The sequence below is a fragment of the Homo sapiens genome, chromosome 17 (assembly GCF_000001405.40).
Source record: "Homo sapiens chromosome 17, GRCh38.p14 Primary Assembly".
NCBI classification, from domain to species: Eukaryota; Metazoa; Chordata; class Mammalia; order Primates; family Hominidae; genus Homo; species Homo sapiens.
In genome coordinates this window covers 61,503,747-61,530,636 of record NC_000017.11, presented here as the reverse complement: position 1 = coordinate 61,530,636, position 26,890 = coordinate 61,503,747, and the positions used below count along the sequence as shown (strand labels likewise).

The window sequence follows — 26,890 nt, the reverse complement described above, 5'->3', positions numbered from 1 at the left end:
GCCGAAGCGGGCAGATCACGAGGTCAGGAGATCGAGACCATCCTGGCTAACACAGTGAAACCCTGTCTCTACTAAAAATACAAAAAATTAGTCGGGTGTGGTGGCGGGCACCTGTAGTCCCAGCTACTCAGGAGGCTGAGGCAGGAGAATGGCGTGAACCTGGGAGGCAGAGCTTGCAGTGAGCCGAGATCACACCACTGCACTCCAGCCTGGGAGACAGAGTGAGACTCCGTCTCAAAAAAAAAATAAAAAAAATAAAAAAATTAATCAGCACGTGTGTGTGGTGGCACGTGCCTGTAGTCGAAGCTACTTGGGAGGCTGAGGTGGGAGGCTCACCTGAGCCCAGGAGGCAGAGGTTGCAGTGAGCCGAGATTGTGCCACTGCACTACAATCTAGGTGACAGAGTAAGACCCTGTCTCAAAAAACAAAACAATTAGATTTTTGGCAGGACAAAGTTCCCCACTTTGTTTTATTTTGTTTTTCAAAATTATGCCCTGTATGCTTACTCTTCTTTTCTAATAGTATGACTTTGAATATCAATTTCTAGCCATCTGATGATTTCCATGAATGGGCTGAATATATCTTTTCAGAGTTCATACCATCACAGCCTCCTCACCCCACTCTCTGCTCCTCCCCAGCCCATCTCTGTCATAGCTTCTCTTCAGCCCTCTCTGATTTGCAGAGAAGTGTAAAAAATGATGGTTATCAATCTCGATATAGATTGCTGAATAACTGGTCAGTAGCTCAATAAAGAGCTAAGAATCAGAGATCATTGACCTAAACCCCTTTATAAATTTGAAGATAAGAGAAATTGTAACTAAATCAAATTTCCCTAAGCAATAGAAAACGAACCCATGATTGAGTACAAAGAGCTTTAGATTCAAACAGGTCTTCTTAGTACCTACATTTTTACCCTCTCTAAACTATAAAATTAATTTGCACAGTTTTTGTAAGCATTAAATGTTAAGTATCCAGTATAATGCCTGAAATACAGTAGGCACTTAATGTTATTCTCCTCTCCCTGCTCTCCTAACCCCTGCCCATGATGATAAGTACAATGCAATGGGAATTTAGTCTTAGGGGATTTGAGAACACTTCCCAGAAGCATGCGTAGAATTAGGAGTAGGAGATGGCCAAGGAACATCCCAGACCCAAGGAACAACATGCATTTGAGAGCAGTTCACAGAATCTAGGTTATTCTGTCATAGGCCACAGATATCTTTTCATAATTGATAAAGAAAAAGGCTTCCTTGCAGGTTTATACTGTGGTGATGAGTTGGAATGAAAGAGTTGTCCCTCTTAATGAGTTTTAGCCTTGAGTTTCTTGTTAAGCATTTCAGCTGGTTCTGAGCGTGTTAGAGCAAAGGTGGTATAGAGCAGTGGATCTTAAAGTGGGGTCCACAGACCACTGAGGGTTCCCAAGGTCCTTTCAGGGGGTCCAAAGGGCAAAACTATTTTCTTAATAATCTTAAGGCATAATTTGTCTTTTGCAGTATGTTGACATTTGCACTGATGGTTGAAAAGTAATGTTGGTAAAACTGCTATCACCAAACTGTACTGGTTAGTAGTCACTGCATTCTTCATCGCAATGCACTCACATTAAAACCAGAAACAAAACAACAAATAGAAATAGCCAGTTTCAGGCCAGGCGTGGTGGGATTACAAAGTGCTTGTAATCCCAGCACTTTGGTAGGCCGAGGCAGGCGGATCACAAGGTCACTAGTTCAAGACCAGCCTGGCCAACATGGTGAAATCCCCATCTCTCCTAAACATACAAAAATTAGCCGGGTATAGTGGGCACCTGTAATCCCAGCTACTTGGGGGAATTGCTTGAACCTGGGAGGCGGAGGTTGCAGTGAGCAGAGATTGTGCCACTGCACTCCAGCCTGGGCCACAGAGCGATACTACGTCTTGGAAAAAAAAAAAAAAAAAGCCAGTTTCATTTGAAAATATCCTTGATGAAGTAACATTTATTTTTCTAAATCTCATCTCTTGGTAAAGGACTTTTTAAGGGCCAGTGTGGCAAAATGAGAAGCACACATAGGCACTTGTGCTGCATACCAAAGGACAATGACCATTTCAAGGAAAACTATCTTGTAATCATTTGAGTGGCAAATTGAGTTCACTGCTTTTTTTCATGGCACCTTATTTTTACTTGAAAAACAACTGACAGACAAGTTTTGGTTACTCAGATTTGGTAGACATTTTCTCGATGATGAGAAAACAAGCCTGCCACTTCAACAAAGCATATAGTATTTGTTGCCAACAATAAAATTCCAACTTTCAAACAAAAACAGAATTTCAGAAAACTTTTCAGTCATTTTTGATCACGTGAATGATGACATTAACAAATATCACAAATATTAACAAATGTGATTTGTTGATAATGTATAAGGAAATGTGCCAACATTTGGAGGATCTGCATGACTTAGTGAACTAATGTTTTCCAAGTTACCAATGAATTATGTGACAAAATCATTCATGGAGAAGTAATCCACTCAAAGTATATGAGAGGCCAATGATTTTAATGTAAAGGAATACAAAATTTTATTAATAAGGTTTTGCATTCTGCACTGCAACTAATCATTAAGAAACTATCAATTTATTTAAAGAAGTATCAATTTTTGAAAGAAATATCAATTTTTTGGTGTAACATTTAAAAATAGTCACAATGATCTCCAAACGTTACTTGAAACACTCGTTCCTTTTTCAACCACATGTCTGTTCGAGGCTACTTTTTCTTTTTCTTTTTTTTCTTTCTTTCTTTTCTTTTTTTTTTTTTTTTTTGAGATGGAGTCTTGCTCTGTTGTCTAGGCTGGAGTGCAATGGCATGATCTCAGCTCACTGCAACCTCTGTCTCTCTGGCTCAAGCAATTCTGAGTAGCTCCTGCCTCAGCCTCCTGAGTAGCTGAGATTACAGACACCCACCATCACACCTGGCTAATTTTTGTATTTTTAGTAGAGCTGGGGTTTCATCATGTTGGCCAGGCTGGTCTCGAACTCCTGATCCGCCCACCTCAGCCTCCCAAAGTGCTGGGATTACAGGCATGAACCACAGCACCTGGCTGAGGCTACTTTTTCTTCATATACTTCAACCAAAACATTTCACAACAGATCAAATGTAGAAGCAGATATCAGAATCTGCTGTCTTCTGTTAAGCCAGACAATAAAGAGATTTTGCAAAAATAATAGATAATACCCATTACTACTCTTCTTGATATTTTTGTTTTGGAAAATATAGTTTAAAAAATTAAATTTGTTATTTTGTTAACATGTAATGGGCTTATTATTTTTTCATGAATTAATACAAAGATATTTAAATTTTTTCTCAATTTTAGTTTCCAGTACACTAAATACTGATAGATATAATTCACATACATAAAGAACTCTTTGGGATCATCAATATTTTTTAAGAATAAAGGGTCCTGAGGCTAAAAAGTTTGAATAACTGCCAGTATAGAGGGAGAATCTTTGGGATCTAAAGAGGAAAGTATCAGAATTACAAACAATGAAATTAGAATTAGAGGTGGGCAGGTGATTGTAGATACCCAAGCTGTGAATTAGCATGGGTGATGAATTATATTGAATTAGAGCAGGACTATGATGCATTAAAAGGTAGCACAGTATAGTAAAAAAAATTTACTGGACTCGGAACTGATTTCTCCTTCTAATTTTACTATTAAACACGGTTACTTCAAGTCAAGTAACTAGAAGTCACTTCCTTTTAGAGTTGCCAGACTCGGCAAATAAAAATACAGGGCGCCCCGTTAAATTTGAATTTGAGATAAACAACAAATTATTAGGGAGCATAACTATGTCCAGAATATTGCATGGGATTCAAATTTAATAGGGTGTCCTGTGTTTTATCTGGCAGTCCTACTTCCTTTTCCAGCTCTTAATTTTCTCATAAGTAAAATAAAGGTGTGGGCTAAATTCCTGTACGTCTGCCCTTCTACTGAAGTTGGTCTATGATGATAAAAAGAGAAAAACTAGGGAAATATAGTGTGTTTGTGTTTGTGTGTGTGTTGATATAAAGTTGCAAATGGTCCTTTACTGAGAAGGACTACTGTGTATTTTGAGGTTGTTCTTCCTACCTCTTTGGCGTTGTAATATCCCTGCTTTCATGGGATGACAAATGTTGTTTTTCTAGTGTTCTTTCGGCCAAATATGTAGCTGATCCTTAAAATTGTTTTGAAATTTTACTTGTATATGAAATCACCGCACTAGATGGTATCTAAGTTTTCTCCCAGCTTTCGCGTTCCATGGATTTTGTCTTAGCAAAGGCAAAAAAGGCACACAACTCTTCACCTAACATCTGATGTGACTCTAACATCGTTTCTTTTCTAGGACACTTTTCCTCAATAAGTAATATATAGAGAATAGCTCTGCTCTTCTCTCCCACACTGTTAGTTGCAGGGAGAGTAAATGAAGTCATGTCTGGAAAGTGCCCCGAGCTCTTCAGAGAAGAACCTAGAAGGGGAGGGAAGTGCCATTGCCCTGAATTTGGAGCAATCGTTGAGTTTTTAGAATGAACTGAAAAGCTGAGAGTATGTTTAAAGTATTGTTTTTGATTTGCACATCTTCAGTTTGATCCTTAACAACATGTTTGCTATGATTCCAGGAGTTTTGTAATCTTAGTTCAGTGTTGACATTTTACATCCTTCCCAGGACTCTAAGTACTCTTTAAAGAATGTATGGTTAATGTAGTAGAGAGAAAAATCCAAAATCACACTGCATCTGAGAGCCAAGAAGTCCAGCCTTTTTACTGGCCACCAATACTGGCCTTAAATAAACATGACTCGTTTGTCTGGAAACACCTGTTAACCTAAAACATGCAAGGACAAAGCCAGAATCTTCAAGGCTCACCGAATAGCTAAGTCAGACATCATTTCTATTCTCCAAAGATTGTGATTGTTTACTTATTTTTTCATACAATTTCTTAGACTAGGCTTTCACCAAAAATAAAAGCTAAATATGATGCATCATGGGCAGAGAATTCTTAATCCAAAGCCCCAGAGATTACCTGACTTGATTATTCCACATACTCTGTATTCTCAACCAAAATAGACTTCTTTTTAAAGAGAATCCAATTTCCAATGGGTTTAACCTAGAAAAACAGCAAAAAGCTAATAAAAGCTCGGAGGCTCTTCCAAGGAAAGCATTGTGGCTGCTACACGTTTGGAGTCCTGGTCTAGTGTAGAGGTTTGGAAAAGCTGCCAATTCCTCTAGTGAATTTGCTGTTCTGGGATGTGGGATGGGGCACCTGGTAGACTCCTAGTAAATTCTTGACTAGGAATAAATTATCCTTGACTGCATTCCTGCATTGCCAAAACCTGGCCTAATTGAGATAGTGGAGTTGTTAACAGACTTAATCTTTGGAAAGAAAGAGTGTGTGAGTGTGGAGACAACTTCTCCAGCTTCCACCTACTCACTCTTCACCACTCTTTGTGTTCCTATTTTGTGGCACAACTGAGAACCAACTTTCTTCAAAGAAACATAGCTTAAATACCTGAAGTAATGCCTGCCATTTTCCCATTCATTCTCTACCATAGTATCCTATGCCAGGAGTATCTTACCAAGAGGGGCTTTACCCTACAATCACTATTCACACCTGAGTTGATTCTTCAGGCGTCAGTAGCTGGATAACCTCAGTAAGCATCAGATGAACTTCCTTTCCTTTTTCCCCCCAAAAAATGACCTTTCCTTTCCTCTCCCATATTTATAAGATCTATAAATTTGGTGCCGTGAGTTCTATTCTCAGATTCAGCCCCTCCTATTTCCAGATATTGCATGGTCTTGATGGAGGACAGGCAAGCCCCCAAATCAAGGTTTAGCCTGGGAGGGTCCTTGGCTTCACCCAGTAAAGAATTCAAGGGCGAGCTGGTGGTGTTAAACAGCAACTTTTATTGAAGCTGCAGTGTACGGGTCCTTGCAGAGCAGGGCTACCTCATAGGCAATGTGCCCAGAGTAGCAGCTCAGAGGCAGGGCTGTACTATATTTATACCCACTTTTTAATTATATGCAAATTAAGGGGCAGCTTATGCAGAAATTTCTAGGATGAGGGTGGTAACTTCCAGGTTGTTTGGTGGTTGCCAGGGAAAGGGGTGGTAACTTCTGGGTGTTGCCATGGCAATGATAAACTGACATGGCACACTAGTGGCCATGTCTTACGGGAAGGTGCTTCTGCCCTGGATGTTTTAGCTAGTCCTCAATTTGGTCCAGTGTCCAAGCCCCACCTCCAGAGTAGAGTTCCACCTCCTACATCAGTCTGATAGAATTTCTTCTTTCTTCTTCCCTGCTGGGTTTCAAAATCGATCTTGTTTGCTTTATGTTCAGGTGGAGTGACTGAAGACAAGGAGCTCAAAGAAATTAAAATGAGAGGGTTTATGAGGCTGGATTTTTAGGACATACCATGTCCTAAGGCTTCCCTGAGACCCAGGTTTCTCTGGCTGCTTCTCCACATCTTAGAAAACTTGATTACACACCCTGTAGGTGAGAAGTTCTACCTAGTATAGAATTATAAAGCAAATAGTTATGAAATACCATGATCTCTGAAGAGGAAAGTAGACATCAAGTACAAAACAGAAAATGTCATTTATGTAAGAAGCCTCATTGAGGCTCAGATTGATGCTACGATGAAATGCCTCATTCTAGTATATTATATACATGGGATCCTGAAAGTGGACCATAAAAGTGGGCCAGCACAAGCCACATCAGCTGGTGGCTTTGGGGAGCAAATGCCAAACAGATAAGTTTTTGTATGAGGTGAACTTAGCCTGTTGTGTTATGGTGGACCATAGGACAAATAGAAAATTTTCATCATTAAAACAACAACAACAAAGCTCATTTATTGAAGGGCTACCATATGCCAGTAATTATGCATATGTTATTCTATTCTCAAAACAACTCAGGAAATGTAGGTATTATTATCCTAATTTTAGAGATAAGGAAACTTCGCTCCAGAGAGATTAAAGGATTTATTCAGACTAGTGAGAGAATTGGATTTTTTTTTTTTTCTTTTTGAGATGGAGTCTTGCTCTGTTGCCCAACCTGGAGTGCAGTGGCATGATCTCGGCTCACTGCAACCTCTGCCTCCCGGGTTCAAGTGATTATCCTGCCTCAGCATCCCAAGTAGCTGGTAGCTGGGATTACAGGGCTCGCCACCACGCCCACTAACTTTTATATTTTTAATAGAGACGGGGTTTCACCATGTTGGCCAGGCTGGTCTCGAAATCCTGACCTTAAGTGATCTGCCAGCCTTGGCCTCACAAAGTGCCTGGGATTACAGGCGTGAGCCACCACACCCAGCTAAGAATTGGAATTTAAAACCAGCCCTTTAGCCTTAGAAGTCTTCTAGTCTAAACTGGTCTTCTTTATACAAATAGGGACACTGAATCCCAGAGAGGGAAAATGGACATTCCAAGGCCATATTGTTGCTAAACAGAAAAGCTGGAGTTAAAACCCAGTTTGATGGTGCTTCTTTCTATCATATTCAGGCTCTTCATGATCTAAGGAATCTGCAGCTATAGCTTAAGAAAAGTGGACCAGCATAAACCATATGCTAGACCGGGATAAACCATATGCTAGACCATAAAATAAGCCTCAAAAAAATAAAAGGATAAAAATAACAGGATAAAAATAGCACCAAGTTTGTTCTCTTACCACAATGAAATGAAATTAGAAATCAATAACACAAAGAACTTTGGAAAACTCATAAGTATGGGGATATTAACACATTCTTAAATAACCAATGGGCCAAGGAAGAAATCAAAAGGGAAATTAGAAAATGCTTTGAGATAGCCAGGCGCAGTGGCTCATGCCTGTAATCCCAGCACTTTTGGAGGCCGAGGTGGGCGAATCACGAGGTCACAAGTTCGAGACCAGCCTGGCCAACATGGTGAAACCCCTTTTCTACTAAAAATACAAAACAAACAAACAAACAAAAATTAGCCAGGCGTAGTGGTGGGTGCCTGTTATCCCAGCTACTTGGGAGGCTGAGGCAGGAGAATCGCTTGAACCTGGGAGGCAGAGGTTGAAGTGAGGCGAGATCGTGCCATTGCATTCCAGTGAGACTCCATCTCAAAAAAAAAAAACAAAACAAAAAAAAACGAAAATGCTTTGAGACGAAGAAAATTCAGACATGACATACCAAAACTTATAGGATGCAGCTAGAATAATGTTTAGAGGGAAATTTATAGCTATAAATGCTTATATTAAAAAAAGAGGAATCTCAAGTTCATAAGCTAACTTTCCACTTTAAGACATTGGAAAAAGAAGAGCAAATTAAGCCTTAAGCAACCAGAAGGAAGGAAATAAAAAGATCAAAGCAAAATTCATGAAATAAAGAACAGAAAAACAACAGAGAAAATTAAATAAAACAAAAAAACCTGGTTTTTGAAAAGATTAACAAAATTAGCAAACGTTTGGCTAGACTGACCAAAGAGGAAAGAGAGAAGACTCAGATTACTAGGATTGGAAATGAAAGTGGGGATTATAAAGGAATACTATGAACAAGTGTATGCCACTACATTAGATAGCCTAAATAAAATGGAAAAATTCCTAGAAACACAAAAATTATCAAAACTGACTTAAGAAAAAATAGACAATCTGAATAAAATGATAACAAGTAGAGATTGGATGAGTAATAAAAAAAAAAAAACTACCCACAAAGAAAAGCCCAGAAAAATGTCTTCATTGGTGAATTCTACCAAACCTATAAAGAAAAATTAATACCCATTCTTGACCAACTCTTCCAAAAAACAGAAGATGAAAGAAGAACTAAATCTATCCATATTTGCTGATGATATGATCTATGTAGAACATTCTAAGAAATCCACAAATTATTAGAACTAATAAATGAGTTTAGCAGGGTTTCAGGATACACAATTAACATACAAAAATACATTTTTTTTTTTAAACAGAGTCTCGTTCTGTCATCCAGGCTGGAATGCAATGGGGAAATCTTGGCTCGCTACAGCCTCCACCTCCTGGATTCAAGCAATTCTCCTGCCTCAGCCTCCGGAGTAGCTGGCACCACAGGCACATGCTGCCATGCCCAGCTAATTTTTTGTATTTTAGTAGAGATGGGGTTTCACCGTGTTGCCCAGGCTGATCTTGAACTCCTGAGCTCAGACAATCTGCCCGCCTGGGCAGCTGGGATTTCAGGCATGAGCCACTACGCCCAGCCTAAAACTGTATTTCTATGAACATTTCTTGCAATGAACAATTTGACTAAAATTTAAAAAGAATTCCATTCACAATAGCATAAAAAAAATTCATATTTAGGAATGAATTAACAAAAGATGTATAAAACTATACTCTGGAAACTACAAAAATGTTTTGAAAGAAAAATGTAAAGATCTAAATAAATGAAAAAACATCTCATATTTGTGGACCAGAAGACGTATAGCTAAGATGGCAAGATGCAGCACAATCCCTATCAGAATCTCAGCTAGTTTCTTGGTAGAAATTGACAAACTGATTCTAAAATTCATGTAGAAAGTTGATGGACCCTGGAATAGCCAAAACAATCTTGAAAAAGAACAAAGTTGAAGGAGTCACACTTCCCAATTCCAAAACTTATTACAAGGCAACATTAATCTAGACAGTGTGGTACTGACAACATTAATCCAGACAGTGTGGTACTGGCAACATCAATCCGGACAGTGTGGTACTGGCAACATTAATCCGGACAGTGTGGTACTGGCATAAAGATACATTAGGCTTCATAGGATTTCTAGATTTTCAGTTCTATTCTACTGACGTATATTCATGATGTAAATATTGATGTAAAATATTGTGTTGTTTTATTCTCCCACAGAATGGGATAATATACTTGCAATCATATTTCTGATTAGGGACATGTATCACAATAATAAAAAGATAACTCAATTTAAAAATGGGAAAAGGAGGCCGAGGGCAGTGGCTCATGCCTGTAATCCCTGCACTTTGGGAGGCTGAGGTGGGTGGATCACAAGGTCAGGAGTTCAAGACCAGCCTGGCCAACATGGTGAAACCCCGTCTCTACTAAAAATACAAAAATTAGCTGGGCATGGTGGCACATTCCTGTAATCCCAGCTACTCGGGGGGCTGAGGCAGGAGAATTGCTTGAACAGAGACCCAGGAGGCGGAGGTTGCAGTGAGCCAAGATTGTGCCACTGGACTCCAGCCTGGGCTACAGAGCAAGACTGCGTCTCAAAAAAAAAAAAAAAAAAAAGGAAAAAGATCTGAATAGATGTTTCTACAAAGAAGATATACAAATGGCCAATAAGCACACGAAAAGATACTCAACATCAATAGTCATCAGGGAAATGCAAATCAAAACCACAATGAGATATCACTTTACTTCTACTAGGATGGCTAGAATCAAAAAAGACCCATGAGTGGAATTGCTGGGCCATTTGTTAACTATGATGACTGAGGAACTTCTAGACATTTTGCCAAAGCAGCTGCACCATTTTACATTCCAAACCAGTGTGTGAGGGTTCTAATTTCTCCACATCTTCAAACAACCCAATACTTGTTATTGAATATTTGTATCTGGTTTGCACTTGAATGTCTGTAACAATATTATTCATTATACCCCAAAAGCAGAAACAATGCAAATGTCCATTAACTGATGAATGTTTAAACAAAAGTAGTCTGTGCATACAATGGAATAGTATTTGGGTATAAAAAGGATGAAGCACTGATACATAGTATGCCATGAACAAACCTGGAAAACATTATGCTAAGTGAAAAAAGCCCGTCACAAATCACATATTGTGTGATTGCATTTATATGAAATGTCCAAAATAGGCAAATTTATAGAGACAGGAAGTAGATTAGTGATTGCCTAGGGCTAGGAAGCGTGAGGGGAAAAGGGAGTGGGAGAGAGAGCTAAAGGGTATGGGGTTTATTTTTGAGGTGATAAAAATGCTCTGAAATTGATTGTGATGATAGTTGCACAACTCTGTGAATACACTAAAAATCATTGAGTTGTACACTTTAGGTGGATGAATTGTGTGGTATGTGAATTATATCTCAATAAAGCTGTTAAAAATGCGTTAGTGACAGGCAGTATTAAAGCAATTACTCCTGTTGTTACAAAGCTAAATAAGGAAGCATAAAATAAAAGTTCTCCAAAGGTTTAAAAAAGAAAAAGAGAGAGGGAAAAGACAAAGCTTAAACCTAGAAAAAAACAAAACAAAACAAAAGTAAAGTAAGGTGCAAATCTGAAAGCTCACTAAATCAAGGATGGCTGAAATCAAATCACCTAACGTAGGTTCTCATCCCCTTTGTTGAGACCTTTGTATATATCACAAGGGCTTCCTTTGTCAGTTTCAAGTCCTGTGTTTCTTCACACTTTAAAAGTTTTTGACCAAGAGTTAAGAAGTTTAGTTAATAAAAGCAATGAGAGAAGAGGGTGAATATCTTCTCTGTGTAGTGGCAGAAAGCAGAAAGGGCAGTTAAAATCCACAAAGGTTTACCAAAAGCCTACTATGTGTTCTTGTACTAGACTTTGTAGGGAAAATAGGGATGTATAAAATATGATATCCTTGCGCATAAGGAGCTTACAGACTCTCTGAGAAATTCAACAGAGTAAGTGAACGAGCTATTTTGGCTGGAGAGATGGAGAGAGGAGAGAAGAATATCTACCCTGCAGCTTCCCGGCAAGTTTGCATGTTTCACAAGATTAAAAATATTGGAAAATACTGACCCAACTAGTTAGGTTCACGACACTGTGTGACAGATGACCCGTCTTCGCTTCTCTGGTCAGGTCAATCTATACTTTTAGTATTTAGACTAGTCTTTTAGAAGATGACTACTTACTACTTACCTTTCAACCTTTAAGGGATTTGAAGGATAATTTATAACTACTTTCCCCTCTGATAAGATCATTAGATGTCATGAAAGGTACTGCTTCTGCAGTCCACAGATTATTATTCATAAAATGTGCTTTTATGAATAGTACTTCATAAATTATGTGTATGTGCAGATTCTACTAATGAATTGGTGGTTCAATAAAGTCATTGCCATGAAGGTGTGACAATGCACATTCCAATTGAAAATTGTACCATTCTCTTCTCTCTCATCTCCAACAAATGCAAAAATCTGTCTACACGATGTGGTTTCTCCTTACCCCCCTCCCTTTTATTCTGCATTTTGTGGTGATCTCCCCACATCTAAAATGGAGGGCTCAGAGCAGAGTTCTTCCTGAGCTTGATGCTATCCAGCCCTGTCTCCTAGGACAATCACAGTCTACTCATGGAAGCCCCAAATTGGCCACTTGTTGCATACAAGGTTTCTGTTGAATTTTTTTTAATAGAGCCATTAATGTTCTGGATGAATCTGAGCTTAAGTCTGGTCTGACCCTGCACCTCAGTGGTTTTATTAGCTGTGTGTTTGGCTCTGGGAGCCTTTCTCTAGCTATTGTCATTATGGAGACTACTTGTGTCTCCAGAGAATCTCTCCTAAATCCCTGGCTGTTATCTGGCCTGGGTATGTGTGTCTACGAACTGAGTGCATTCTTGTCTGCAGTACGTCCTGACTGTCTCTGATAGCAGCCATGGCTGACCTAACTTTACTAGGTACTCAGATTGATATGATTAAGATTAATGAGGCCCACTCTCAGTCATGAACCTATTCAAGGATAAACTTGTAAATCCAATGAGTTCTGAAGATGACTAGTTACTACTTACCTCTCAACCTTTAAGGGATTTGAAGGATGATTTATAACTACTTTCCCCTCTGACAAGATCATTAGAAAGATGTCATGAAAGATACTGCTTCTGCAGCCCACAGATTGTTATTCACAAAATGTGCTTTTATGAATAGTACTTTATAAATTATGTGTATGTGCAGATTCTATTAATGAATGGTGGTTCAACAAAGTCATTGCCATGAAGGTGTGACAATGCACATTCCAACTGAAAATTGTATCATTCTTATGCTTACTATGTAAGTACATCTTCAAGAAAGAGACATGACAATTACAAAATTACACTCATGTAAAGGTAAACTTGGGAAAGGTGTAGGTAGCTCCCCTGTTATTATGTATCTGGACATTCCAAAGAGCTCAGTTTCCCAGGTAGCTGGGTGCTTGCCATTTAAGTACACTTTTCCACCAGTTTAAGCAATGTAATTTCCCTGGCTTCTTAAAGGGCTATAAGTTAACCTTTTTTAATGACTCAGCGCCATCCCTATAAATGTGGAGGCAGCATGACAGTGGAAAGAACACAGACTCCGAAGTCAGCAGACCTGTGTTGGAATATTGGCTCCTGCTGTTAATAGCTATGTGACCTTGGGCAAATTTCTTAATGTTTTTCAGCTCCCATTTCTCATCTGTAAAATGGGAGCGCTAGAATCAAACTTCATAATGATGATTTGAGAATTATGTGATAAAAGGTAGTTTTTTAAAGTACTGTTCACCCGAAAATTCTTTTTACAAGTGAAATTAATGCAGAGGCCCATTGTGAACAAATAATAGTGGAAATGCTCTGAGTTTTAAAAATCATTGTGTCTAGCACAGAGCCTGACACTTAGTAGGTACTATTTAGATGATAGCAGTTGTTAGTATGAATATCACTTAATGTGAAGCTTTTGTTAATTTTTATATGCTTTTATTCTTATATCTTTTTTTTTGTTTTTGTTTTCATTTTTTTTGGAAACAGGGTCTCACTCTGTCACCCAGGCTGGCTGGAGTGCAAAGGCATGATCACAGCTCACTGCAGCCTCAACTTCCCCGGGTTCGAGCGATCCTCCCACCTCAGCCTCCCTAGTAGCTGAGACTACAGGTGCATGCCACCATGCCCAGCTAATTTTTGTATTTTTTTTGTAGAGACAAGGTTTTACCATGTTGTCCAGGCTGGTCTGCAACTCCTGGACTCAAGCAATCTGCTCACCTTGGCCTCCCAGAGGGCTGGGATTACAGATGTGAGCCACCACGCCCAGCCATATCTGCTTTTGAATGTGGTTTTTTTCTTACTATCAAGCTGCCATCTGCCTCTTCTCACTGTAGTCAGTGCACTTGCTCACAAAATCCTCCCTCATCTTTTAATTTGCTACTTCTTTCTAATTAGCTCTAGGCTTAGGAACCAGACAACTGTGACTCACAAGTTCTATGTGAGGGTTTTAGACTAGCTATATGAGTAAAATAAATCATCATATACCTTGGGTTCATACTTTGCAACACAAGTCTTGATTATTCAGATAAAGTTTTGGAAAGCAGTGTGGTGCAGTGGAAAGAATATGAGTTTTGGAATCAGACAGACCCAAATCTGCATCTTAACTCCTCTACTTGTTAGCTGTGTCATCTTGGGCAAGTTGTTCAATCTCTCTGAACCTCAGATTCATCATCTGATAGAGTAAATAAGACTGATATCATACAGTTACAAAGATTAAGTGAGGAAATATATATAAAGTATATAACAGAGTTCTAGACACATAGCAGGTGATACATAAAGCTTCATTCTCTCTCTTTACTTAACCCTTCATTTTCCCTTTCTTCCTGGTTTATAGCTGTGTTTCTGGAGAGACTGAGCTCTGACTGGCTCAGGGGAGATATATGGCCTAAAATATGGAATGTATTAGGAAAGGAATAATGGTGAGACCATAGGAGTCTGAGATCATGAGAAGCTGAGAGACAGAGTACGGCTATAATTTCTTACCAGTAAAAGAAAGAGGGGCCGGGCATGGTGGTTCATGCCTGAAATCCCAGCACTTTGGAAGGCCAAGGCGGGTGGATCACCTGAGGTCAGGAGCTCGAAACCAGCCTGGCCAATATGGCGAAACCCCGTCTCTACTAAAAATGCAAAAATTAGCCAGGCACGGTGGTGGGTGCCTGTAATCCCAGCTACTTGGGAGGCTGAGGCAGGAGAATTGCTTGAACCTGAGAGGCAGAAGTTGCAGTGAGCCGAGATCACGCCACTGCACTCCAGCCTGGGTGACAGAGCGAGACTCCGTCTTTAAAAAAAAAAAAAGAAAGAGGAAAAATCCCAAGATGAGAGAGAAATTTTGTGAATGCCACAGCATAAAGAGTCATTAACACAAACCTGACCACATATAAGCAGTTGCAAGTGTGGTTCACCTTCATCAGGCACTATTCTCAGCTGTTTTGTCTTTCTTGCCAATTTTTGGCATCAAAATCCCAGCCTATAGTTGGGAGCTGGAATCCACTTGGTTCGAGTATCATGAATAGTTAAAGGATTTTGTCTGTTCGAACTCAAGACTTCATAAAGACTTTTTTAAATTTATTTTTTATTATTTATTTATTTTTTTTTTGGAGTGCGGTGGCACGACCTCAGTTCACTGCAACCTCCCAGGCTGGAGTGCAGTGGCGCGATCTCGGCTCACTGCAACCTCCGCCTCCCGGGTTCAAGCAATTCTCATGCCTCAGCTTCCCGAGTAGCTGGGACTACAGGCGTGCGCCACCATGCCCAGCTAATTTTTTATTTTTAGTAGAGACGTGGTTTCACTATATTGGCCAGGCTGGTCTCGAACTCCTGACCTCAGGTGATCCACCCACCTTGGCCTCCCAAAGTGCTGGGATTACAGGAGTGAGCCACCGTGCCTGGCCCATGAAGACTTTTAAAAGGATCTCATTGATCCTTTTAAAGGTTTGACTAAATGTATATTATATAATAAAATGTATATTATAGGACAAAATGTACATTGTAGAATAAGCTATATTTTATTATTTAATTTAAACATAAATCTCTAAACTCAACTATAATCATCAGTTCTTTTATACAATCATACAGTTTCAATATTAAGCACCAATCATTTTACACTAAATAACTGGTGGGTTGTCTCTCTCCTGGTCCGACTCTTTTGTTGTGTACATTGACTGCTGACTTTCTGAGCTCCATGCTGTCTTATGTTCCTACTGGTCTACCTTGTCCAGATGCTTTTAACTATTTACAGAAAATTCTCAGCTTCTCTGTCTGCAGTTGCTGAGAGTTTGGTCTGTGATTGCAGTCCTTCGAACTGTATTTCCATAGCACTAGCAAAATTGTTCCCCATCTGCTCCTGAACAGAACCATTTAAAGCTGTTACAAATGAAAGTTCACTTTCTTTCACTCTCCGCCCTGCAAAATACATGCCACAGCCACTCTCTCTCGCACAGCTTTGATATCTGTTAGTCTCTTGCTTTTTTTTTTATCTTCTCTCCATTTCTCTGTTTCCTTTTTTTTTTTTTAGGAAGAGAACAGAACAACCTGAAAAAGTCTTCTCCAACGTGCAGAAGAAATGACAGTTCTTGGGTTACATCACACCTTCCTTTGTGACTGTAGCAAACTAGAGTTTTGTTACTTAATTATTTCATGCCCACATTTACGTGGGGGTTAGATATCTAAGCAAATTAGAAAGACTTTCTTTTTTTTTTTTTGAGACGGAGTCTGTCGCCCAGGCTGGAGTGCAGTGGCGCAATCTCGGCTCACTGCAACCTCCGCCTCCCGGGTTCACGCCATTCTCCTACCTCAGCCTCTGGAGTAGCTGGGACTGCAGGCGCCCGCCACCAAGCCCGGCTAATTTTTTTGTATTTTTAGTAGAGACGGGGTTTCACCGTGTTAGCCAGGATGGTCTGGATCTCCTGACCTCATGATCCGCCTGCCTCGGCCTCCCAAAGTGCTGGGATTACACGTGTGAGCCACCTTGCCCGGCCCCATGAAACACTTAAGCAGCTTCCATTATTTTTATGCTGTTTTACTCTGTTGTTTTGCAAGTAAATTCTGACCATGGATGGAAAGGTATTATGAGAATCTCCAAGAAAAAGAAAATTACTGAAGCTAAAATTGGAGAAAGTATAAAAGAAAGAGGAATTAAGTTAGAAAACTCAATTTAATTCCATTTTAAAACTAATATGCTCAGCTGGGCGTGGTGGCTCACGCCTGTAATCCCAACACTTTGGGAGGCCGAGGCGGGTGGATCACCTGGGGTCAGGAGTTCAAGACCAGTCTGGCCAACATGGTGAAACCCTGTCTCTACTAAAAATTCAAAAATTAGCCAAGCTTGGTGGTGGGCACCTGTAATCCTAGCTACTCGGGAGGCTGAGGCATGAGAATTGCTTGAACCTGGGAGGGGGAGGTTGCAGTGAGCTGAGGCTGCATTATTGTACTCCAGCCTGGGCGACAAGGGCGACAAGAGTGAAACTCTGTCGCAAAAAAAAAAAAGAAAAAAAAATGCTCATTGGAGCCTCACTTGTACTAACTCCAAGTTACATGTTCTGGAGTCCTTAGTGATAAAGAAATGGAATACACTTTCTTTAAATAATGAGTCATTTTTTTGAAGGTATAAAATCAGTCTTTTAAAATTAAGAACCCATAAGGTAATGAGGACTCCACTTTTTTTTTGAAATTTTTTATTTTTATACAGAGTCTTGCTCTGTCACCCAGGCTGGAGTGCAGTTGCGTGATCTCGACTAACTGCAACCTCAGCCTCCCAGGTTCAAGCAATTCTCGTGCCTCAGCCTCCCAAGTAGCTGGGATTACAGAGGTATGCCACCATGCCCAGCTAATTTTTGTACTTTTAGTAGAGACAGGGGTTCACCATATTGGCCAGGCTGGTCTTGAACTCCTGGCCTCAAGTGATCTGCCTGCCTTGACCTCCCAAAGTGCTGGGATTACAGGCATGGGTCACTGCACCCGGCCAAGGACTTCACTATTACTCCCACACCTTCTAGTTTATCATGAAATCTATGAAACAGAAGAAATCTGTGAAGTCGTGGAAAGAGCACCAAACTTAGAATCAGGACGTGGTTCAAGCCCTGGCTTTTCATTTACTCCCTGCATGACCTTGTCCAAGACGCTTAACCTCTCTGAGCCACAGTCTATAAAATTGAGATCATCTTCCTTAGAGGGGTGCTCTGATTAAATTATGAGATTATACACTAGGAAGCACTGTGCAAATACAATTTTATTTTGAAGTCATCAATTTCCATTCTTCTCTCCCTTAGGTTCATTCATGTGCAGGCCTCTCAGAACCAGTCCTCTCAGTTCCGTACCCTGTCTCTTGCTTCAAGATAGAAGACCACTACCTTCACTCAATACTTGCCTAGGGCGTGTCGCACACTTTGCATATATCACTTTTATTTATTTATTTATTTATTTATTTATTTATTTATTTATTTATTTATTTTGAAACAGAATCTTGCTCTGTCACCCAGGCTGGAGTGCAGTGGCATGATCTCAGCTCACTGGCACCCTGCGACCTCCACCTCCCGGGTTCAAGCGATTCTTGCACCTCAGCCTCCTGAGTAGCTGGGATTACAGGCGTCTGCCACTACACCTGGCTAATTTTTGTGTTTTTAGTAGAGACAGGGTTTCACCATGTTGGCCGGGCTGGTCTCAAATTCCTGATCTCAGGAGATCTGCCTGCTTTGGCCTCCCAAAGTGCTGGGATTACAGGTGTGAGCCACCACTCCCAACCAACCTCATTTAATCTTCAAAACAATCCTGTGAGGTAGGTATTTGGAAGATTTGAATCCAGGCAGTCAGACTCAAAGTCTGTAAGCTTGAAGCCAAGCTGATCTAGGGTAACTTTCAGACAGCAATCACCATCTGTCACTTTACTGCCATGAAGGAAAAAGTTTTTAATAGAGGTTTTCCTTTCAGGAGGATATAAACTCAGCACTCAGCAAAAGCCACTAGTAAATCCAGCGGGAGCCCTGGATGCCTCAGGAATGGTTCCATTCTGCAGTCATAGAAGGGTTCACAGGAAGCTGGTCGCTGGCCCTAGAAGGAACATAGCCCCAAGCAGTGCCTTTCAGGGGCACTCGGAAGGTTTGAGGCCAGGAGGTCCTGGCCAGCAGTCCAAGGCAGCACCAGAGAGCTTGAAACCAGTAAAGCTTCCCCAGGCTGGACTCCACAGCCAGTTCAGAGCCTGACCCTGAACATCTGCAGATGGGCTTATATCTGAGCTGTGTTTTCTAGCCAGGCCAGAGGGAGGCTTGGAGAAGTCTAGAAGAGAACCAGAGGCCCCAAAGTAAAGAAAGCTGGACAGGAAGTTTCCTAGCCCAGCAGGGGCCAGCAGCAGTGAGCAGAGAGCACTACCCCCACCAGCACTTGATGTTCTATGAAGTGCAAAGATTGTGTCAGCATTTCCATTTTAAACCCCTAATTTCATAGGTTTACAGTGCAAGTCGTAAAAATTCACTCTGGGCTGAAGTTTGGCATCCAGTCTCTTAGCTTTTTTAAAGCTGTGTGCTCAAAAATGGAGACATGTCTAGTTTCAGACATTTTGGGGACCCCTATAAACACCCCCAAAGCCTTGTTTGGTAAAAATGGGCTCCTAAATTGTGATTCTATGATGCAGCAAAGCCCTGCCTCTGTGAATGTGCAGAAAATGTGTTATGAAAAAGTAATATTGTTCCTCCAGAAATACAGATTCCCTACACACTGAACTAGAGCAGTGAAAATAAGTAGAATCTAATGTTGTTGCATCTTCAGAGCAACATGTCACATGACCTTTACCGTTACCACTGGGGCCTGAAGCTGTTCTTGCTTGAAAAGACATTTCAATTTCCAACTGGAGGCAGCTTCCTAGAGGATTGGAGTCAGCAGCTGATTCAGGTTTTTACAGGTTCTGTGACCTTGACCAATATGTATTTAAACCTCCATTTCTTTTGTTATTAAATTGGAGATAATTATACTCTCCGTTCAGTTTTTCTGTAAACAGGAAAGATCATATATGTCAACACATGTAATAGACTGACTTTTATTGGTAGCAACATATAGGTAACTCAGAGAAGTGAAGGTATCTACAGTGATGATTAGTGGAAAGCTCTCTAACCTCTTCATTTTCAGATTTCCACTCATTCCACATCCTCTAATACCTCTCACTGGTCACTGAGGCTGGTAAAGACATTCAAAATATGAGCTACATTAAAGAATAAATCCCCAGGAGAAAGCTCCCAAGAATGACGTTATAAATCCCAATGTTTGAGGAATCTGACGTGGCAAGAAGCTAATATTTCATAATTTTGCAAGTATCGCAGGGGACCCTGAGAGTTGTGAGAGCTTGAATCACATGACTTAGCTCGGGTAATTAATACTCAGGCAACTTGGCACTCGTACCAGTCTGCTTGATCTGCAAGAAGTTCAAAGAGCCTCATCTTCCCAAGTGTTGGGGCTTTGATAATTTCAGGAAGAGAAGCGAGAATAGTAGCTCAGGCGTATGTCCCCCTGAAGGAAAGGCAGAGCAGCAGCAGGGCAACCACCCTATGGGACCTCCCTATTCCTGAGCAAGAGGTTGTCCCTAGATCCCAAATAGGCCGAGAGACTGGGGGAGTCGAGACTTATCTCAGGGGAGCAAGGGAATGTCTGGCTACAGTGCCTGGTTTGGAAACAGGGAGAGGAATCCATGGCTCTGAGCCCAACCCCAGGCCACCAACATGATTTCTATCTCTGGAAACAAGGATTCTGTTAACAGAGGGACTTTCAGAAACATCTTCATTAATACTGGTACCACCGAAATGCCCATGGAACACTTAGGGGTCAGTCAAACCTGAGGTTTAACTTTTCCTTTTTAAATGTCAGCAGCAAACTGCTGATCTACCAACAGTTAACAATTTTACCTGCTGCTGTCTAATCCTTTATTCACCACAAATCCATTCCAAAGGGAGTCAATAAGGCAACATAAAAGTGTTCAATGCATATTAACTGATAAGGAGGAGAAGTTAGTGAAGTTCCTCTTAAAGCCAGTACATTTCCAAGCTCTTAGTACTGTTTCATTCTCCATGTTTTAAAATTATACAAAGTGTATATTAGGCAAAAGAATAGTAAGATAAAAACTTATGCACCCAAAACACAGGCTAGGAAAAAAGTCACTCACACCACCAAATAATCTTATGCATTCCTCCCCAACTTCAAATTCTCCTCTTATACCTTGCAGGCTGCACTATCCTTACTGGCATGTTCGTTACATGTGGCTCACCTACGTAAGTCTATGTAAGTATGTAAACCTAAACTACACTGTTCAGTTTTTTGTTTTGAGCTTCATAAAAATGGTATCATAGGCCAGGTGTGGTGGCTCACCCTTGTAATCCCAGCACTTTGGGAGGCCAAGGAGGGCGGATCACCTGAGGTCAGGAGTTCAAGACCAGCCTGGCCAACATGGTGAAACCTCGTCTCTACTAAAAATACAAAAATTAGCTGGGTGTGGTGGCAGGTGTGTGTAATCCCAGCAACTCGAGAGGCTGACCAAGAGAATCACTTGAATCCGGGAGGCAGAGGTTGCAGTGAGCCAAGATCGTGCCATTGCACTCCAGCCCGGGCAACACTGCTAGACTCTGTCCGTCTCAAAAAAAAAAAAAAAAAAAAAGGTATCATACTGTATGTACCCTTCTGCAACTTCTTTCATTCAACATGTTTGCAACATTCACTCATGTTTAATATTCCATTGCTTGACTATACTGAAATGTATTTAACAAGCCGTCTCTTGATAGATACTTGGATTGATTCCAGTGTTTTGCTATTGCAAACAATACTGCTTTGAACGTTACCGTATCTGCCCCCAGGTAACATGGCAAGAATTTCTCCAAGGATTTCTTTCTGCTGGATTATAGAGTTTGTACGTCTTCAACTTCCCAAATAATGCCAAATTGTTTTCCAAATGGTTGTACACAACCACCAACAGTGTGTATTTGTTTCAGTTGCTCTATGTTCTTTTAATTTTTGGTTTTATTTGACTTTTTATATTTTGACAATCTAGTAAAGGTGAAACGGTAACTCTTTGTGATTTTAATTTGCATTTTCCTGATTTTCAATGAGATTGAGCATCTTTTTCATACATTTATCAGTCAGTCCTATTTGTTCTTTTGTGAAGTACATGTTTGATATGGTTTGGCTCTGTGTCCCCACCCAAACCTCATCTAGAATTGTAATCTCCATGTGTTGAGGGAGGGACCTGGTGGAAGGTGATTGGATCATGGGGCGGTTTCCCCCATGCTGTTCTTGTGATAGTGAGTGAGTTCTCATGAGATCTGATGCTTTAAAAGTGACAGTTTCCCCACCCTCCCTCTCTCCTGCCACTATGTAAGACATGCCTTGCTTCCTCTTTGCCTTCTGCCATGATTGTAAGTTTCCTGAGGCCTCTCAGCCATGCAGAGCTGTGAGTCCATTAAACCTCTTTTGTTTATAAATTACCCAGTTTCAGGTAGTGTCTTTATAGCAGTGTGAAAACAGACTAATACAATGTTCCAGCCTTTTGCCCAACTATTTTTTTTTAAGAGACAGTGTCTTGTTTTGTTTCCCAGGCTGAAGTGCAGTGCTATGACAGGCACGATCACAGCACACGGCAGCCTCAAGCTCCTGGGTTCAAATGAGACTCCCACCTCAATATCTTGAGTAGCCAGGACTACAGGTGCATGCCACAGTGCCCATCTTTTACTGGTTTTCTATGGAACTGTTTGTCTTTTTCTTATTAATGTATAGACATTCTTTACATGTGGTATATCTTTGTTAGCTAATGTGTTGCAAATATATTACCAACTTATCTTTTCACTTACTTATGCTGGCTTTTGATAAGCAAAAGTTTTAATATAGTTTGTAATTACTATCTTCATACTTTTCTTATATAATTGTTTCTCGTAGGAGGAAAAATAAGCTGGGATTTAGTTCACCCTTAGTGAGTGCCTCCCCCGGTGCCTGTTGAGTAGTACTGGTTGGGAGGAATCTGGAGTTGATTCAGTTTATTTCACACACATTTTTTTTCAAAGCAGGAGTCTGTCTCTAGAGGCCCCCAAAAAGCACAGGCTTTGTTGATAACTTTCACCTGTTCTAGGGGAATTTTGCTTAGTGTCAAACAGCTATCAGAGTCGCAAAAAGATTATTTATTCTTGAGGGTCAATACGAAATTGTTAAAAGAAATCCTTACCCTTACTTAGGGTTCACTGTGGAGCTGAACAAAGCTGGTATCTAAACCAAGTTCCAATCCTTATCCACTGTGTAAGTTCTCAGACCCTCAGTCTGCTGTCTGTTAAATGAAGATAATTGCACCCGCCTCAGTTGCTTGTGAGAATCTATAAGACGGTCCAGATCAACTGCCTACATGGCACACAGCTCTCAGCAAATGTTCCCTTTGCCTTAGGAAGTGTAGCCCTTCGCCAGCAGTCAAACTGCTCAGCCCATCTGCGATCTCTGCCACAAACGTGTCCTCCGCCAGTCTCCCCCAACTCACATCCACACATTTGGCCCATGTGAAGACTGTAGCAGAGAAATAATTGTTGGCCTGGGGTCTGATTCTTTTCTTTAAATACTCAGGAATATTAGCACCATGTGTTTAACCATTCTAACTCAACTCACCACGTCCCATGTATTTGTCATATGAAAAGCCAATATTATTATTTACAAGAACAAAATTTTAGGCCAGGATTATACAAAGTACAATTGGGCGCTCCAATTTTTATTTTGTTAATCACAAAGTTTCACTCAAAAATGTCCCCTAGACCTTCATTCATATTATCCTCCCCCATCCCTGTTACAGCACACAGACCCAAACCCCAAACACACATGTGAACACAACACACAAACACACACACACCCCCTCCTGCACAGGTTTTTCTCTGTTACTTTAATATACTCGGAGTAGCCACCTATGATCAGAATGAATCAGGAGGCAGTTGCAGTGGCGTTTGGATTCAAACCCTCCAATTCTGTCTTTACTGCTCTTTAGTGCAGAATTTAAGAATCTTTCTAAGGTTTTTCCCCCTCGGTTGATCTTTTCATCAATTGACCTTGACCTGGCTAGTACCACGTACATGATGTTGGTAAAGTAATTAGATGCCCTAGTGTTTATGCGGCTTGTTTCTTCATTAGCCAAATTTATTTTTCAGTACACATACTAATTCAAGATCTCAAATATTCCTTGTAAGCCATTCATTCCTTTATTTTACAATCTTTCCCACTTGATCAGCTACACTGGTTCATTTATCACCTTCCCATTCTGAATTACTTTAAGCAGATTCTTCATTCATGCATTTAATCAGCAAATATTGAGTGTTGTGTTACTTTTTAAAATGTGCTCTTAAACTTGCCAAAGCCATTGTTATAGTGTTTAGTAACTCGTAGCCCATTGATCTGTGTTTGTGTTGTTGGTGTGCACGTTGCTTTTGTTATTTATATTCAGATTTTATTTTATTTTTTAGAGATGGGGTCTCGCCCTGTCACTCAGGCTGGAATGCAGTGGTGTGATCATAGCTCACTGCAGCCTTGAACTCCTGGGCTCAAATGATCTTCCTCCCTCAGCCTCCTGAGTAGGTGAGATTACAAGTGTGAGCCACTGCACCTGGCATTATTCAGATACTTCTATCTCACTCCATTTTCATGAATATCAAAGGCCTCCCCAGACCTGGTGATTTTCAGTGTTTCTGTTTTCCTCTAATGAACTCCAACTGTCTTTTGCATGTACCACTCTGTGGCACCTAGCTGACACTGCTTTGTAACACAGTTACAAAGTGCACTAGAGTGAAAGTGCAATCCAAGTGTCTGCCTGCCCCCTTTCAAATGTCACTTTTTTTCTGGTATCCTTGAGGAAAGGGGGTTTTGTTTCAAGGGCACAGTCCTAAACTGTCCTTCCTCCACGCGGTGCTGCTACCAGCCACGCTGGCCTCAGGGAGGGGTGATGTGGAGGAGGCTGTACTTCTTTTTATTGCCCTCACCCTTCGTTTCCTTCAACACCATCTACACAGGCTGTTAGGGATAGTATATTTTTACGGGAGTCATAGAAGGGCTAACAAGGTGGTAGAGCAAACAACTTGGGAGTGAACACGAGACAGCAGGGTCCGAAAGTCCCCAGGCCCTCCCCACGACAGAGAATTTTTCCTAGGAAGAAAGAGAAAGAAAAGAAAGAGAGAGAGAGAGAGAGAGAAAGAGAGAAAGAAAGAAAGAAAGAAAGAAAGAAAGAAAGAAAGAAAGAAAGAAAGAAAGAAAGAAAGAAAGAAAGAAAGAAAGAAAGAAAGAAAGAAAGAGAAATTCTTCTATCCTTTGATTCTGGCTTACTGCCGTCTTTTTTTTTTTTTTTTTTTTTTTTTTTTTTGAGACGGAGTCTCGCTCTGTCGCCCAGGCCGGACTGCGGACTGCAGTGGCGCAATCTCGGCTCACTGCAAGCTCCGCTTCCCGGGTTCACGCCATTCTCCTGCCTCAGCCTCCCGAGTAGCTGGGACTACAGGCGCCCGCCACCGCGCCCGGCTAATTTTTTGTATTTTTAGTAGAGACGGGGTTTCACCTTGTTAGCCAGGATGGTCTCGATCTCCTGACCTCGTGATCCACCCGCCTCGGCCTCCCAAAGTGCTGGGATTACAGGCGTGAGCCACCGCGCCCGGCCACTGCTGTCTTTTTAAGCCCTCTTTTCTCCCTAATTCCTTCTCATATATCCTTACATCTCTGTCATCTCTGATTGCCACCCATCCCCTTCACACTGATTCTCTGCAGAAACTCAAGTCTTCTCACTTTATTCCACAGAGAAGTTCAGCTCTCTCTCTGTCTACCACATCTCAGCTGTGCCTTTCTCAGCCAAAAAGTTCCATCAGGTGTTTTCCTAAACAATAATGTTATCTACCCTGAAAATCAGTTTTGTAACTTTTCTGTAGAACTGTCTGCTATCAGTTTTTGTTTGAAATAGCAGTTTCCTTTCTTACTACTACAAATGTGGGGACCATATCTTATTTCACATCATTCATAGCAACTTGCACATGAAAGCTTCTAATTTGCTGTTCCACTCTTTGGACCTTGTTCAACAAAAACACTTGCATTCCAATCATACGTGAAAAGGAGAGGGAGGAAAAAGATGAAGCCAACATTGACTCTGAGGTTTCTCGCTTAGATGACCAGATGAATCATCAACCTCTGCTTAGCACACAGAGGAGGAGTTTTCTGTTTGTTTGTTTGTTTGTTTGTTTGTTTTGGAAAAGAAAAGAGTTCAGTTTTGAACACATCAAGCTTGAGTTATCTAGAGGACATCAAATAACAATACCCAGAAGGCAATAGGAATACAGAGGTTGGTACTGGAGAGACAGAGAGACGTGGTTTGTCTCTTGATTTGTACATCCTTAGTGTCTAGGTTAACCTAAAACAGAAATCACTCAGAATGCCAAGGGAAAAAAAATTAGGAATAAGATGATAAATGTAGAAATCAGTAAATAAATAATGTTCTTGAAGATCAAATGGAAACAGATACAATCATCAAACATATAATAAAAGAAAATATAACAATAAAACACTAGAAGAATTTCAATAAAACAGTCAAGACAAGAAGGTCATCTATCATTGCATTTATTTATCATTAGCGTTAAAGTAAGTTTCATCCAACAAAAGATAGAAAGGAACAATGGAATGAAGAGAGGAAGAGAGGAAGGAAGGAAGCAGAGAGGTTGAAATATCAATACAGTTGACATTTCAGTCAATGACCTACTACATATGCTACGAGGTGGTCCCATGAGATTGTAATAGTGCTGCAAAATTGTATGTTAGGTAGCCACCCTAATGTCTGAGTGCAACACATTACTCGGATGTTTGTGGTGATGCTGGTGTAAACAAGCCCACTGTGGGGCCAGTCATATAAAAGTACAGCACATGCCATTATTCACAGTACATAATATTTGATAATGAGCCACTGTGTTATCGGTTTATGCATTTACTATACTTTTTATCATTATTTTACAGTGTACTCCTACTTATTAAAAAAAGTTAATTATAGAATAGCCTCAGGCAGGCCCTTCAGAGTTATTCCAGAAGGTGTTGTTATCATAGAAGATGATAGCACCCTGTGTGTTATTGCCCCTGAGGACCTTCCAGTGGGACAAGACGTGAAGGTGGAAGACAGTGATATTGATGATCCTGACCCTGTGTAGGCCTAGGCTAAGGTGTGTGTTTGTGCCTTCATTTTTAACCAAAAATGTTTTAAAAGTAAAATAAAT

General features: G+C 40.6%; 1 annotated feature.

The window, feature by feature from the left end:
* Positions 15,949-16,449: an enhancer, noted in NCBI's record as "H3K4me1 hESC enhancer chr17:59591549-59592049 (GRCh37/hg19 assembly coordinates)". NCBI's record gives its function as "activates a minimal SCP1, AML or CMV promoter by ChIP-STARR-seq in primed H9 embryonic stem cells {active_cell/tissue: H9 hESC(primed)}" and the evidence as "EXISTENCE:reporter gene assay evidence [ECO:0000049][PMID:30033119]".